The sequence below is a fragment of the Homo sapiens genome, chromosome 10, assembly GCF_000001405.40.
Source record: "Homo sapiens chromosome 10, GRCh38.p14 Primary Assembly".
Lineage (NCBI taxonomy): Eukaryota > Metazoa > Chordata > Mammalia > Primates > Hominidae > Homo > Homo sapiens.
In genome coordinates this window covers 46,601,995-46,618,273 of record NC_000010.11, presented here as the reverse complement: position 1 = coordinate 46,618,273, position 16,279 = coordinate 46,601,995, and the positions used below count along the sequence as shown (strand labels likewise).

General features: G+C 40.3%; 1 long non-coding RNA gene and 1 pseudogene across 2 annotated transcripts in view, besides 1 other annotated feature; one reads left to right on the top strand and one right to left on the bottom strand.

Annotated features, from left to right (window-relative positions):
• The window catches only part of SHLD2P1 (shieldin complex subunit 2 pseudogene 1), a 41,505-nt pseudogene extending 33,703 nt beyond the window's left edge, over window positions 1–7,802 (top strand). Inside the window, exons 6-7 of the transcript NR_027632.1 lie at window positions 3,429–3,544; window positions 6,825–7,802. The product of NR_027632.1 is annotated as a shieldin complex subunit 2 pseudogene 1 (transcript). The remainder of the gene's footprint in view (window positions 1–3,428; window positions 3,545–6,824) is intronic.
• Window positions 4,238–5,081: an enhancer, noted in NCBI's record as "OCT4-NANOG hESC enhancer chr10:46935581-46936424 (GRCh37/hg19 assembly coordinates)". NCBI's record gives its function as "activates a minimal SCP1, AML or CMV promoter by ChIP-STARR-seq in naive H9 embryonic stem cells {active_cell/tissue: H9 hESC(naive)}" and the evidence as "EXISTENCE:reporter gene assay evidence [ECO:0000049][PMID:30033119]".
• Window positions 6,120–16,073, bottom strand: LOC105378289 (uncharacterized). Its single transcript, NR_188197.1, has 4 exons — window positions 15,759–16,073; window positions 10,505–10,898; window positions 9,019–9,182; window positions 6,120–6,365 (listed from the first exon to the last, which is right to left on the bottom strand). It is a non-coding gene; the product is annotated as an uncharacterized LOC105378289 (long non-coding RNA).
• Between the last annotated feature and the right edge of the window lie 206 nt (window positions 16,074–16,279).

Below are 16,279 nucleotides of genomic sequence, written 5' to 3'. Positions count from 1 at the left end.
CTATTATGTCTTCAGTTTCACTTCAGTTATTCCATTCTACTCCTACCATGCTGCAGAAGCTGCTTTTGTCAAAGTTACACTTTTGATGTTGCCTGAGGCATGGATACTTCTTTCCTCGCTCTAACTGCTCTCAGTTATATTCAGCATGTCAGTCCACTTCCTCCTTCTTGAAACAGCCTCCTCCTTGCTTTCTAACCTGTCTCTCAGGCCCTTCTTTCTCAGCCTTTTCTACCCCCTCTTTAAATGCTCTCGTCTGTGTCCTTCCTCTTATTCTTTCTGTACATTCTGCCTGGATGATCACAGCTGTTTTCGTATTTGTACTTAACATCTTCACCCTGATTTTCTCCTCCAGGCTCCAGTAGTCAGGTATCAAATTCTTTGCTTGATGTCCATCTCACATTTAAACATACCCACAATAGACTCTTGTTTTTCCTAAAACCACACTCAAATCTAGTTCTCTTCGTTTTTATACTTTCTGGAAAATGGCACACCATCTACCCAATTATTTAGGCTGGAAACCTGGGCACAATCGTTGCATCATTTTCTCTTCCCTACCTCCCCTATCTAATCTATTAGCAAGTCCTAGGAATTTTCATTCAGAACTATATCACAAATTCATCCACTTTTTTCCATCTCCACTGCTAACATCTTAGTCCAGTGTATCCCAGCAGGGGCATTGTTGACATTTTTCTCAGGACAGTTTCTCATTATGTACCATATCCCACATGCTGCGGGGCATGTGGCATCCCTGTTTACCTTCCCCTAGCTGAACCTCAATTACTGTGAAACCAAAATGGAAAGTCAGTGCCTGCTGGTCTGGAATCACTCAGGCCTCATCTGAGTCCCTACTACCTGTTGCGCAAACCAGCACACCAGCAGTCTCTTGGTGGGGCTCCTCCTGGCCTTGCCTCCTCCCCTTTATTCTCCACCCGTTGGCAGTGTGATTACCCTTTGCTTCACCCATCAGTCATCTCCTTATGCTTGTTTCCTCTGCAGTCTCATCTGCTGCCACTCCCCTGTTGTCCAGCACTCTAGCCACGTGGCCTTCTTTCAGTTCTTCAGACATTTTGATTTTTCTCCTTAGGATGTTCTCGAATGTCTTCCCTCTGACTCCACAAGGCTGGTTTCTTCATGTCTTAGATTAAATGCTGCTTTATCAGAGAGGCCTCTCCTAACCACCCTTCTTTATTTTCTGTTATAGTAGCCTGGGTGTGCTTACTGTAATTTGTATTTGCATACTGTCTTTTCTAAAAAACATTTTTACTGAAGTTAAAATTCATATACCATCAAATTAATCTTCTGAAATGTACAATTCAATGGCGGTAGTATATTCCAAGGGCTGTGTAGCTATCACCACAACCAGTTAGGACATTTTCATTACCCAGCCCTTTACAAAGCCTCATACTCATTAGCAGTCACTCTCCATTCCCCATGCCCCTCAACCCATGGCAACTACGAATCTGCTTTCTGTCTCTATAGATTTGCCTGTTCTAGATATTTTATATAAATATTATATAATATGTGATCTTTTGTGACTGGCTTCACTTAGCATGATGTTTTCAAGGTCCATCCATGTTGTAGCATGTATCACTACTTCATTCCTTTTTATTGCAAAATAATATTTTATTGTATGCACATACCACATTTTATTTATCCATTCATCAGTTGATGGACAATTGGGTTGTTTCTACTCTTTGGCTATTATGAATGATGCTGCTGTGAACATTTGTGTACAAGTTTTTGTGTGGATATGTGTGTTCATTTCTCTTGGGTATATATCTAGGAGTGGTGGAATTGCTGGGTCATATGGTAACTGTCTGTTTAACCTTTTGAGGAACTACCAGGCTGTTTTCCAAAATTGCTGCACAATTTTACATTCTCATCAGCAATATGAGGGTTGTAATTTCCCCATATTCTTGCCAGTACTTCTTATTCCGTTTTTCTTTTTGTTGCATGTGCTTTCGGGTCATATCTAAGAAAGGTGTCATTTCTAAGCCAAGGTTATGGAGATTTGCTCCCGTATTTTCTTCTAAGAGTTTAGTAGTTTTACCTCCTACATTTAGGTTTATTATCTACTTTGAGTTAAGTTTTGTATATGGGATAAGGAAGGGGTATAATTTTATTTTTTGGCATGTGGATATCTAGTTGTCCCAGCGTGAATTTTTGAAAAGACTGTTCCATCCCTGTTTAGTCATCTTGGCACCACTGTTGAAAAGCTTATTTTCTTTCTTCTTCTTTTTGTAGAGATGAGGTCTCGTTGTGTTGCCCAGGCTGGTCTCAAACTCCTGGCCTCAAGCAGTCCTCCTCACCTTGGCATCCCAAAGCGCTGGGATTACAGGCATGAGCCACCGCGCATGCCCAATTTCTTCCTATCCCTCTACAGTTTTACGTTCCTTGAGTGACGGAACCAGATTTGTCTTTTTCACTAGTGGGTACCCAGCACTTACCACAGTCCATGATAGATACTCAGTTTGTATTTGTTGAAATAAATAATGGAGGGAGAGAGAGGCTGAGGAAAGAGTGTAGAGTGAAAAGAGGAAGGAACATAGAGTCATCGTGTGAATAAAGGGGGAAGTGGGTTTTTAGGGGGAAAATCAGTAGTTATGTTTTAGCTCTGTTACATTAAATTCCCCCGCTAATGAGCCTGTTTCTGAATTCTGTTCTCAATTTATTTTTTAAAAATCAATGTAGTTATAAAATAGGTACCACATGCCATGGTTAAAATGCACACTACATAGGAGGTTATAAAACAAAGAGTGAAAGTCTCCTTCACCATCCAACCCTCTCCCACCAGTGCTGCTTCCATGCTGGTGAGAAGGTTTTTTGTATGTCCTTCCAGTGATTTATTATGTTCATCCCAGCACATGTGTATCCCTTTCTTTAGAAGCATGTGGACAGAAGAATATTGTTCATATTGTTGTTCCCTAGAGTCTATCCTGGTGCTCCTTCCCTAATAGCACTTGCAAATGTTCTTCATTCTTTTTATCAGCTACATAGCATTAAGATGTAGGATGCACTGAAAATTGTTAATCCAGTTTTATTGATATGCAAAACAGTTTATTTCTGATAGGAAAGAATTCAGTTGAAAAAAGTAACTTGAAATTGTGATTGTGAAATATGTGATTATTATTTTTATTTTCATTTCTAAAAACAATTTATAAAACAGTTTAATATATTTTTATATTAGTATCTGAAATTTAAAAATGGATATAGAATAAATAAAATGTAGTAATTTATCATTTGAAGCTCTTGGGGAAAAAAAAACCTTTTTTTCCTTCTAGGATGTCACAGAACATCCTAGAGTTGTTTTAAGCATTAAAATTAATCCTGCATTAAAAACCAAGTGCTTTTTGGAATTATTTTTCATTTAAACATTTCTTTTATTTGAAAATCTTTTTGAAGGTCGTGTGTTGTTTACTCTTCTGTAGGCCAGCGTTAATGACTGCCGTTGATGGAAGACATAATGTTTACATCCGTGTAGAATCAAAACTGATAGAGAAGATTCTTCTCAACATTTCTGCACACTGCCTCAACAGAGTGATAGGCAATATATCAGTGTGCCATCAAGAAGTTGTTTTATTCAGGAGTATAAATGGTATATCGGAACAGAAAGAGCACTCTACTTTAAATTAAGAGCTTTTCTGTCCATATGAAAACAGAAGGATAATTTAGCTTAAGTGAAATATAAGCCTATGTAAGTTAGAAGGTTGACTTGCTTTACACCTGTTAGTACATGAACAGTGGGAGGCACCTAATTTCTTCTTAACCTACATTTCCTGTTGGTAAGCAAAAACTATTTTACTTAACTCTAGTTTTATAAGAATGAAGTCAATGAGTGTATGACATAATATATATGAAGATAGTCCAGTGTCAGTGGAATGGATTTGCAAGATCTTCAACCATGATGTCTTAGTTGTCAGTGGCTAAGAATAAAGCAAAGATAATATATTTGTCAGGTATTCAAACTCCATTCCTGTTCTCATTAGCCTCAGATCCTCTAAGCTGATGAGCTAATCTGGTTCTGTGATTGCTTTATCTTTCAATAGTAGATTGTTTTTCGTGTTTTTTTTTAGTTGGGGGTGTCTAGTAATTTTGGGTTGAATGCTGAACGTTGCATATATTAAGTAGAACAGTACAAACTGAGGTAAATAGTAGTTGTACCTGGAAACAGGCATGCCTCTTCTGGTCCTTTACTGGAGGTGAGGGGTGAGCAGGATGGTCAGCCTTGTCATAAGTTGAGTTGGATTCAGGTTTTGTTGTTTCTCTGGTTACCTTCAGGTCACCACTGGTTTCAAATTATCTTGTGCTTATGGTGGGAAGTGGTTCCCCAGTATTCCTGCTCCACCATCAGCATAGCCCTCCACTCTGCACCTGGGCCTCAGAGAAAGTTTCTTTCCATATTCTTGCACCTCCCCAAGTTGCACAAGCTTTTGTTGGTTGTTATTTGGTGCATCCTAACCTGGTGGGTGGGAGCAGGGTTGTTCCTCTTTGATTCTGGTCCAGCCCCAGTCTTATACGGATGTTGCACATGGCGCTTTCTTGGTAGCCCTGTCCCTTATGTGGCATGGCAGCTGAGCTCTGTCTTGTGCCTTTAGTGGGTCTTGTGTGGTCCTGGCCCTGCCCCAGCAGTAGGGGACCACTAATGGTCTTGACCCAGGGTGGTTTTTCAGTCCTCCCCCAGGATGGAGGTTTTTTTTTTTCTTTTTTCTTTCCCCCATCTGTACTGGTTCCTCACCTGTACCCTGGGGCAACAGGATTTGGTGTCCCTCCTCCAGCAATTGAAGGCTTTTGTTCCTTAAAGGGGAGGCCAGATGGTGCTTTGTGTTTTGTAGTTGGAAGCTTTCTCTGATGTCTTGCCCTGCCCCCAGTCTTATGAGCACCTGGTGGAGGTGAGACGTACTATGTGGAAGAGCCTATGAGGATGCAGATGTTCCTTATGTTGCTGACACTGGCAGTTCATTGGCTTTTTGCAATTAATTTATTAATAAAAATTAATCACATTCTTCTTTCCTGCCTGTATGGAGGACCTGTCTTCTTCCCAAGGCCTGCCCCAAGGGAACCTGTGCTCCTGTTCCATCTCCCTGGAGGCACCTGTCTCCTTATGTTTCAGTCTTTTTGGCTGTTTTACAACCTTGGTTCTCATGTGTATTCAAGAAAATGATGATTTTATATTTATTCAGTTTTTTCCAGTAACTGTTAGGGTAGGAGCCACTTTTTCCAGCTTTCTACATCTTAATTAGAAGCCTCTCTCCGTTTTTTCCCCCATTTTCTTTATTTCATTTTTATTCTTTTGGCTATTTTCATTCCTTTTCTTAATGTTACTTATATATTTTCAGTGTTATCTCTTCTTTTTTTTTTTGAGATGGAGTTTTGCTCTTGTTGCCTAGACTGGAGTGCTGTGGCGCGATCTCAGTTCACCATAACCTCTGCCTCCTGGATTCAAGCAAGTCTCCTGCCTCAGTTTCCCAAGTAGCTGGGATTACAGGCTTGTGCCACCATGCCCGGCTAATTTTGTATTTTTAGTAGATATGGGGTTTCTCTATGTTAGTCAGGCTGGTCTTGAACTCCCAACCTCAGGTGATCTGCCTGCCTCGGTCTCCCAAAGTGCTGGGATTACAGGCGTGAGCTGCCGTGTCCGGCCTATCTCTTCTTTTTTGCATAATGTAAATTAGTCTTTATCTCTTAGAGAAGCATAATTCTCATATCACATATACTTCAGTGTTTTGTCCATTCTTGAGACAATTAAAGTTGTACTTCTTGGCATTAATTAGATTGTGATCATAAGTCAAAATGTCATTGGTCATAAAGTGGTCATCAGACCATGCAGACTATTACTAATATTGGTTATGTTTTAGTTTATTGCAGTGAAAATACAAAATTTAAAAGTTATTGTAGAGAATTATCATACCCCCCAAAATATGTCATTGGTCCTCCAGGACTCTGTAGTCCCCATCCAAGAAAGACTGTGATAATTGTCAAGGGGTTAGTACGGTCTGAGCATGGTCGATGGTGCTCTGTCATTCTGGTATTGAACAACCTCCCAAATGTCTTGATTACATGTCCTAAAAAAGTGAGGGGAAGAGTGTAGGACAAATGCAAAATAAAATAACACATTTAGCTATACTTTTAGTATTTTTTATTATTGAGATTCAATATTTAAGTGACCGATTCAAGATTCTTTTATATAAAAAATGAATATATGCATAAGTAACTGTGATAAGAACTGTGGATGGATAAGAGCACTCGTCTGATGTACTGCAGCATAACCAGAACTGCTGTCGGTCTGAACGGTGTGTTATCTGGGCCTGTTTCTTGTGTCAGGGGGATCACATGCCGTCACTCTGGAGTGCCTCAATAGCTTGTAACTAGAAAGAGAAGGTATAGAAAGAGTAGTTTACTTACCTGTTTATTTATTTAGAGGCAGAGTCTTGCTCTGTTGCCCAGGCTGGAGTGCAGTGGCACAATCTCAGCTCATTGCAACCTCTACCTCCTGGGTTCAAGCAAATCTCCTGCCTCAGCTTCCCGAGTAGCTGGGATTACAGGCATGTGCCACCACTCCCGGCTAATTTTTGTATTTTTAGTAGAGACAGGGTTTTACTGTGTTGGCCAGGCATGTCTCGAACTCCTGACCTCAAGTAATCCAGCCACCTCCGTCTCCCAGAGTGCTGGGATTACAGGTGTGAGCCACCGCTACTGGCCGGGAGGAGAAATTTAAAATGGGTTTGAGACTTGAGGAACCAAAAGAAACAATGAAACCATTCAATGTGTGTGCTCCTGTCAAGCTAGCAGCGATCTTGAGAGCTCTGTGTTTTCGTCTTCTGCAGTTCCTTCCTCAGAGATCACCTATGGGATGGTTGTGGCAGACCTGTTCCACTCCTTGTTGGCAGTCAGCGCAGAACCTTGTGTATTGAAGATTCAGAGCCTTTTTGTGTTAGATGAAAACAGCTATCCATTACAACAAGATTTCTCCCTCCTGGATTTTTATCCTGACATGGTAAAGCATGGAGCCAATGCCCGTCTCTGAGGCCAGAGGAAGAAATTGCAGGCATTTCAAGGAAGAAGTACTGAAATGATTTGTCTTTTGAAATAAATGAATGACAGGGCTTTTGCTTTGGATTTTTTATGAAATATATTTTACAAAGAGAATTGCACTAGATAAATTAAAACTTTTTTCTAAGAAAATCCTGTGAGGTTTAAAAAGATTGTTTTTGTCTTTTGGTTTCTTCCTTTCTTCTGGAGAAATGATCTACCAGTCAAGGCAATATGTAGCAGATCCCTGGGAATTAAAGGTTTGCCCATTTGTTCACTGTATTTAGTCCCTGCTACATTCCAGGCATCGTACTAAGTATGGGGAACCACAGAGAAGACACTCCTTCAGAAACTGCTGCAGTGCTTTCGCTTATCCCTACCTAAAAAACCGTCAATGTGAAATCATTTCCTTGATTATAACTATAATGATAATGGATTAGTTTATATAAACCTATGTTTAGACAAGTTCAAGACAAGCGTGTCTTTCTATAAAAAGTATTGAAAGTGAAGGAAATGAGATCATGTTTCAATTTATTAAAGCAGGGAAGAGCGTTCTGTGGTTAGTTCGTGTCTAGGATTTGAGTGCCTTACTGAATGTATTTACCAGCAAACATGTAGCAATCTGTTCTCTCATTGTGATTGTGGAAGAAGCTCATGTAAAATGATAGTCATTAATGAGGAAGTATGGCGTGGTACTTATTCTGTAAGCTCAGAGTATGCTGAGTGTTAATAGATTGTCATATTGCCTGAAAATAAATTCATGATGACATGAACAAGCTTCTTTTACCCTGTGTATGTTTTTAAAAATTCCTTTGGTTCAGAGGTGGTTGTTGTTTTTTAACTTGGCTTCCCTAAGAACGAACCACAAGAGTTTTGTGATTCTTTCAAAAATAATATGCCAAAATGCCTTTGTGGGAGCACACACACACAAATGCATGTTTCTGTGGAGAAGGATCCATAGCTTTCAACAAATCCTCAGAGGGTTCTGTGACCAAGAAAGGTAAGAACAAGGCTTTAACTGATGAGTTTCTTTGTGGGGTAGATAAGGGAATTAGAGCAAATGATTGCCAAAGTTTTGTCTAGCAACTAATAAGGTGGGTACAGAAAGAATTGACTCCATTTTGTATCTAGAGAGACTGGAATTCAAACAAAATCATTGGCTCCCTTCAATGATTCGTTGAATGGGTGATGAAACTTGAGCCTGTAGTTGACGCCTTCTAATCTGTGCTCTCTCAACTATAACCACACTAGGCAGAGATTTGGAATTCTGATATAAAATCTGCCCAGTCAATATAGGCCAACCAAGAGAGCTGTTCGCTTAAGTGTGCCCTTCCCCACTTCGTCCTCAAGTGGAGACCTAATCCCTACATCAACCAGAACATAATCCCCAGGAAGAGATGGCTCTTCACATCCTATTGGGAAGAAATCTTTAAACCATTTCAGGTGAGTCAACAGATCACACCAACATCTCTTCACAGTTGTTGGTATGTATTTCATTAATTAACACATATTTCCAGGAGCCCTTATTTAGGTTGGGAACTGTTTCCTCCAGTCCTGAGGAATCTGAGCTATCTACAGAAGTTATGAGCTATTTAAGTGGGATCAGGATCAGCCCATTGCTCCTGCTATGGTCTGAATGTGTCCTCCCAAAATTCTTACGTTGAAACCTCATCTCTGATGGCATTCAGAAGTGGGGCATCTGGGAGGTGATTAGATCATGAGGGCTCTGCCCTTGTGAATGGGATCAGTGCCCTTACGAAAGTGGCCCGAGGGAGCTTCTTTGTCCCCTTCTGCCACAGGATACAGCCAGAAGGTGTCATCTTTGAAGCAGAGAGCAAGCCCTCACTAGATTCTCAATTTTCTGGCACCTTGATCATCCCAGCCTTCAAACTGTAAAAAATAAGTTTCTGTTACTTATAAATTGCCCAGTCTGTTATTTTGTTATAGCACCCAGAACGGACTAAGACACCTTCTGTGTGTATTCTTTACCTGAGTTGACAAGTAAGTGTCTTTATTCTGTTATGTTTTCATAAAACTCAGTGGGGTAGCCAGAGTGTCATCCAGCAGTCCCATATCTGGCAGTCTTATGGTGGGCATTTCAGGGAGACCTCATTCTTCATCTTCTGTTAGTTCAGCTTGCAGGGACAGCTCTCCTATTTTTAGAGAATCATTTTTATTTGTTAGTCACTTAGTTTCCCCAGAGGTATCCTTTTTCTAACAGCGTTAGAGGCATTCACCTTTCTCCCCACTAGTAAGATCTGTGCTGTTTCATTTTACATCTTTTTTTTTTTTTTTGGTTGGGGGAAAGGGGGCTGATCATCAAATGAGTTGACAACATTGGGTGCATGATCCACCCTGCAGACGTTCGCTGAATGTCTACCATGTGCTAGGCACTGGAAATGCAAAGACACAAATGTCTGCCTTCTGTAAGTTCACAGGCAAGCTGGTGAAGAAATATTTAAACAAAATTATATCAGCGCCAGGATTAAATCTGTGTGGAATACAGAGCCAAGGCAAAAGAGGTAACAGTAGGATGGGTTTGTTAGTCATGACTCTTGGTTGCAAGTGATAAAAACCCAACTCAGAGTAGCTTGAGCAAAAAAGGGGGACTTGATTGACTCACATAAATGAGGGTAGTACCAGCTTAAGGCACAGTTGAATCCATTGGCCTAAATTACCTGGTTACCCCAACTCCCTAATTTTTCTTTCTTTCTTTCTTTCTTTCTTTCTTTCTTTCTTTTCTTTTTCTTTCTTTTTCTCTCTCTCTCTTTCTTTCTTTCTTTCTTTCTTTCTTTCTTTTTTCTTTCTCTCTCCCTCTCCCTCTCTCTCTCTCTCATCAGAAGAGGTCTTTTACGCTGTTATTGCAAAAGCATAGATGTTTCTACAGAGTTTTGATAGGATAACATTTTCACAGTGATTATGAATTTACATCGTCCCTAGAATTCTAAACTACTGGGATCTGAGGCCGTAAGTTGTTTAAGAGTATTCTGACATTACCTTAGATTCAGCAAAACTTGAATAGTTGATCATGCCTTTCTTAGAAGAAAATATCTGTAATTTCTCAGAACAATATAGAATGAGACAGAAAAACTAACCATCCCTATGTGCCTTATTTTAAGTGATATATTTGTATCCTGATGGGTTTCTAGGTGTTGGAACACAGGTCATGAATCATAGAACAATTAGAATAAAGTGTTCGTCTTTATCAGTAGCTTAATTCTGGCCCTTGATTTAATGTCAACAGGGGAGAAATGTGTGAGAGGGGATGAGGTTTGCCAATTAATTGTCATTATGTCTTTGGAGGTCTTGAACCTGATTTGTTATTAAGAAGTGAATTCTACCCACTTAAGGCATACATTTGCTAAAGGTGACCTCTCTGCTTCCACGTTGTTAAGAAATCGTGATTTTTTTCAAAACAATCATCAGCTTTACAGTTTTTGAGGAAAGATCTAGAAGCCTGTTAAAATGGACTTACCAGGCAGGGTTCAGCCCAGGAAACACAAGCCACTCTGGGTATTCTAAACAGAGAGAGATTAATGTGGAATTCAGGTGTTTGCAAAGGTATTGGAAGGCTGGAGGAGCAGGCATCAGTCTGAGCTCCAGGAGGCTGCCACGTGAACGGTGGATTCATGAAAACATCATCATTGGCTGCAATCTTAGACTGAGGATGCAGCTGCTGGCATCCCGGCAACTGACTCTCAAGCACATGGAAGCTGGGAGTTATTTGCTGCTGCCCAAAACTCAGTCCCCACAGCTACACTTGCCAGGAACAGTAGCTTCAGGAAGATAGCCTGGATTTCACTCATCTTCCATATTGCACATGTGTGTGTGTTTCATTGATGGAACATGATTCACGCTGAGAGCTTTAGCTGCAAGAAAGTTTGGGAAATATGTCTTCTCTGAGGCTTTTGGTCTTTGCAGTTCAGGAGCAGTTAGGAGGTGGGACTGGTTGGTTGCAGAGTGAGCTGATTTACTGCACTTAGTCTAGCTTATTAAAGGATGAGCTTATAAACACCCCAGGTAATATCACAATACATAAGTGCTACCTAATTACTGTGTGGGTCTGTTACCAAGAATGTCTAAGTCAAGAAATTGAAGATTGTTTCCTTCAGATTCTGCATCCTAATGTAGAATCTTTCCTATTAGAGTATAAGTAAATTATTTTGGTGTGTTATTTAAGAATATTTGTGAATAGGCTTAATTAAACACCATGTTAAGAAATTATAAACTTAAGGCCAGGCACAGTGGCTCACGCCTATAATCCCAGCACTCTGGGAGGCTGAGGCGGGCAGATCACTTGAGGTCAGGAGTTTGAGACCAGCCTGGCCAACATGGTGAAACCTCATCTCTACTAAAAATACAAAAGTTAGCCAGGCGTGGTGGTGCACACCTGTAATCCCAGCTACTTGGGAGGCTGAGGCAGGAGAATTGCTTGAACCTGGGAGGTGGAGCTTGCAGTGAGCTGAGATCACGCCAGTTCACTCTAGCCTGGGTGACAGAGTGAGACTCTGTTTAAAAAAAAAAAAAATTATAAACTTAAAAAAAAAATGTTTTCCTTTAAACAAAAACGCATGTTCCTTGTTTTTTGTTTTGTTTTGTTTTGCCTTTTTTGAGAGACAGTCTTGCTCTGTCACCCAGGCTGGAGTACAGTGGCACAATTATGGCTCACTGTAGCCTCTACCTCCTGGGCGCAAGCAATCCTTCCACCTCAGCCTCCCTGGTAGCTGGGACTATAAGTGCAGACCACAACAACTGATTTTTTATTTTTTGTAGAGACAGGGTCTCCCTACATTGCCCAGGCTGGTCTTGAGCTCCTGGGCTCAACCGACCCTCTTGCCTTGGCCTCCCAAAGTGCTAGGACTATAGGCGTGAGCCACTGCACCAGGCCGTTTCTTTTTTTTTAAAACTTTGGAAAATATGGATGAATGAAAGTGAGAAAAGTAACCCTTCTGTTATTCTACCAACCAAAGCTAATTGCTGCCAACATTTTAATAGATATTCCTTCGGTTGTTTTATGCATGTATGATTTTGTACATGTGTCTACTTTAAAATATATAGTCTTTCAATGTTGCCCAGGCTGGACTCAAACTCCTGGGCTCAAGTGATCCATCACCTCAGCCTCCTGCATGTATCTACATCTTATTTTATTTTATTTTTAGAGACATTCTGTTAACCAGGTTGGAGTGTAGTGGTGTGATCATGGCTCACTGCAGCCTCAGCCTCCCTGGGCTCAAGTGATCCTCCTGCCTCAGCCTCCTATGAGTAGCTGGGACTACAGGCATATGCCTCCATACCTGGATACTTTTTGTATTTTTTGTAGAGACATGTTTTTGCCATGTTGCCCAGGCTGGTCTAAACTCCTGGCCTCAAGTGATCCCCTTTGCCTCAGCCTCCCAAAGTGCTGGGATTACAGGTGTAGACTACCACGTCTGGCCAACATTCTCATTGATAGTCTTTGCACACATCTTTCATTCCTTCTGGGAATTTATTCTAAGAAAATAGAATTTTGGGGTCAAAGTACTTGTATGTATGTATCTGTACCAGGAAAAAAGCAGAAATTCCAGTATCAACAGATAACGAGAGCCACGCAGGGTGGTACATGCCTGTAGTCCCAGCTACTCAGGAGGCTGAGGCAGGAGGATTGTGTGGCATGAGCCCAGGAGTTAGAGGCTACAGTGAGCTATGATTGCACCACTGTACTCCAGCCTGGGCAATAGAGCAAGACCCTGTCTCTGAAAAAACAAAACAAAACAGATAACCATTGTTACTATTTTGTTGAACATTTTCCAGATACCCTGATAGAAGACAGATCTGTGCATGCACATACACAATTTTACATAAATGGGACCATTCCATATAGGCCAGTATCTAGTGTGTACTTTTTTTACTCCACAATTTGCCATATACGTCTTTCCAAATCAATCAACATAGATTAAATCATATCAACTACACAGGATTCCATCATTTGTGTGTGCTCTTGAATCCTACTTTTAAAATGTTCTCAGAAAGGTTATCCTGAAATATATTCCTATCAGAAGTTTTCCACACTCTCTCTAAACTGAATGGCATAAGTGAAAGACTAGTTGTTAGGTTTAAAAAAGGTTATCTGTTTTAATTGGAATTTTTTTTTTGAGGTTTTCTTTTTCTTTTTTCTTTTTCTTTTTTTTTGAGACACAGTTTCACTCTGTCACCCTGGCTGGAGTGCAGTGGTGCGATCTTGGCTCACTGCAACATCTGCCTCCTGGGTTCAAGCGATTCTCCTGCCTCAGCCTCCTGAGTAGCTGGGATTACAGGTGTGCACCACCATGCCCAGCTAGTTTTTGTATTTTTAGTAGAGACAGGATTTTGCCATGTTGGCCAGGCTAGTCTTGAACTTCTGGCCTCAAGTGATCTGCCTGCCTCAGCCTCCCAAAGTACTGAGACTACAGGTGTGAACCACTGTTCCCAGCCTTAATTGAATTATTTTATTGCTAAAGTGATTGTACATTTGCTTCATATGCTTATCAGTCATTTGCAGTTTGCTTTTTCATATTTTACCTTAGACCATTTTTATGTGGGAGAAGCCTTTTATTAAATTAGTATGTTCTCCTTATAAAGTTAGTAATTTTTAACATGTGTTGCAGACATTTTTCCCAAGCTTGTTATATATGTTTGACATGCAGAAATCATAAATATTTACGTGGATCAACCCATCAATCTTTTTCTTTATTGTTTCTAGATTTTATGGCATGCCTAGATAGCTTCTTTTCTACTATAAGATTATACACATTTTCTTCAAAAAATTTTTTGAAACATTTATGATTGTTATATTTGTATTTAAATCTTTAATTATCTAAAATTTAGTGCATGGTATGAATGGATCTAACTGATTCATTTTCCTAAAATGGTCAGCTGGTTGTCCCAACACTATTGATTTCTTTCTTTCCCATCAGTGACATAGATGTGATCTTTATTATAATATGAAATTATTATTCCTGCTAGCATTACCTGTGGACTTTCTGGTCTGTTTCATTGTTCTATATTTATTGCTGAGCCAGAACCATACAGTTAGAATTATTATAACTTTACATCTGATAGGAAAAGTACCCCTATATTTTTCTTCATTAAAATTGTTTTTCTCAGACATCTTTGCCCATCTGTTCTTTTTTATTCCCCATTAAGAGTATATGTTGCAGTGTTTTTTAGTATATTCAGAGTGTGTGACCATCAGCACACTCAATTTTGGAACATTTCATCACCCCCAAAAGAATCATCCATAGTTACATTAACTATACCACCCCACAGCTCTTCCTTAAGAGGAGCTAACAGTCGCTCCTCCATACCCACCCCCTTTCCCCCAACCCTAGGTAACCACTCTTCTACTTAGTGGCTGTATAGATTTCACTATTCTGACATTTCACATGAATGGAATCATACAATATGTGGTCCTTTGTAACTGATTTCTTTCACTTGGTATAGTGTTTTCAAGGTTCACACATGTAGCATGTATCACTACTTCATTGTTTTTATTGCCAAATAATATTCCATTGTATGGATATACCGCATTTTATGTATCTATTCATCAGTTGATGGCCAACTGAGTTTTTCCCACTTTTTGGTTATTTTTAATTATACTATCATGAACATTTGTGTGCAAGTCTTTGTGTGGATGTATATTTTCATTTCTCTTGGGTATGTACCCAGGAGTGGAATTGCTGGGTTGTATGGTTTAACCATTTGAGGAACTGCCAAACTTTTCTAATGCAGGTGCACTATTTTACATTCCCATGAGAATGCATTGGAGTTCTGATTTCTCCACATCCTCACCAGCACTTTTTATTATTATCTGACTTTTTGATTATAGCCATCCTAGTGGGCATGCCATCTGTTCTTGAGATAAGTTTAGAATCATTTTTATCCCATTGATATTTTTAATGAGATTGCTTTGAATTTATGGATCATTTGGACATGTTTTCAGTGGTTAAGGCTTACTATTTAAGAAGAGCATGCTTTTTCAATTAATAAAGTATTCTTTAATGTTCCTTAGCTTTAGCTTTATTTAGCAGTCCACATTTAAAGGGTATTAACTATGGAAATTTTTTTTTTTTTGATACAGGGTCTCACTCTGTTGCCCAGGCTGGAGTGCAGTGGTATGATCTCAGCTCACTGCAACCTCTGCCTCTCAGGCTCAAGCTATCCTCCCACCTCAGCCTCCTTGGTAACTGGGGCTACAGGCATGTGCCACCACACCTGGTTAATTTTTGTATTTTTTGTAGAGATGGAGTTTTGCCATGTTGCCCAGGCTGGTCTGGAACTCCTGGGCTCAAGCAATCCACCTGCCTCAGCCTCCTAAAGAGCTTGGATTACAGGTATGAGCCATCAGCCAGTTTTTTTGTTTTTTTAAATCATTGATTTCAACTATGCTCTGTTGAATCCCTTTTCCATCCCCTCATGTCTCACATGCCTCACATAACTTCCCAGGCATTGTGTTTTAGAAAGTCTGGTATTGTTTAAATTCTAACCTCATTTTGCTCTTCTCCAGAGCATGTCCAGCTAGTCACTAAAGGGACTTGGAATGGGGAGGAGATAGGTGCACCCTTCCTTTCCTTTGACTCCAGCTGTTGGAGCTGGAGGGAGGGCGTGAACTGGCACCGAGGTGAATTCTCCCCATTCCTTCCCAGCTTCCTGAGGCCTAGCTCCTCCATGAGCTGGGGAGGGAGAAAAGAAGGAAAGGGGACAGTGGTACTTACCAGGCAGCTACCACTGTGGTCCTCTCCTTTGATGGACTCCGCTTTTCTAGCCAGTACTTAACTGCTGATGCCTTCTGTGCAGCAGGCGTTGAGTACTCCTCTTTCTGGGGTCCATGTGAGAGTTCTTTCAGAGCTCACTCTTCTATGTACTCTATGTACTCACTCTATCTTATGTACACAGTTGTTTTCATGGGAGATGCAGCTCTGTCTGGTCTTTCCTGCCCCCTCCACTCTCTCCAACTGTACCTCCTTTCTCCATCTTGCAATCTCTCTCTGATTCACTTCACTCGTGCTCAGACAGGCATGGAGAGCAGGTCAGCAAATTCTTCACACTATCAGACTTTAGACAAGCTAAGGAATTTCCTTCTCTGCATACTGTATATAGCACAGTTTGATTTATGTAACATCCTAATCATACTGTCTGGAAGAATCTTACCAAAATGATATTATTCCCCTACATGGGGAATTAGGGCTTGATTTTACCTTCTTTATTATAATTATTTTTACTTGATCAAATTACT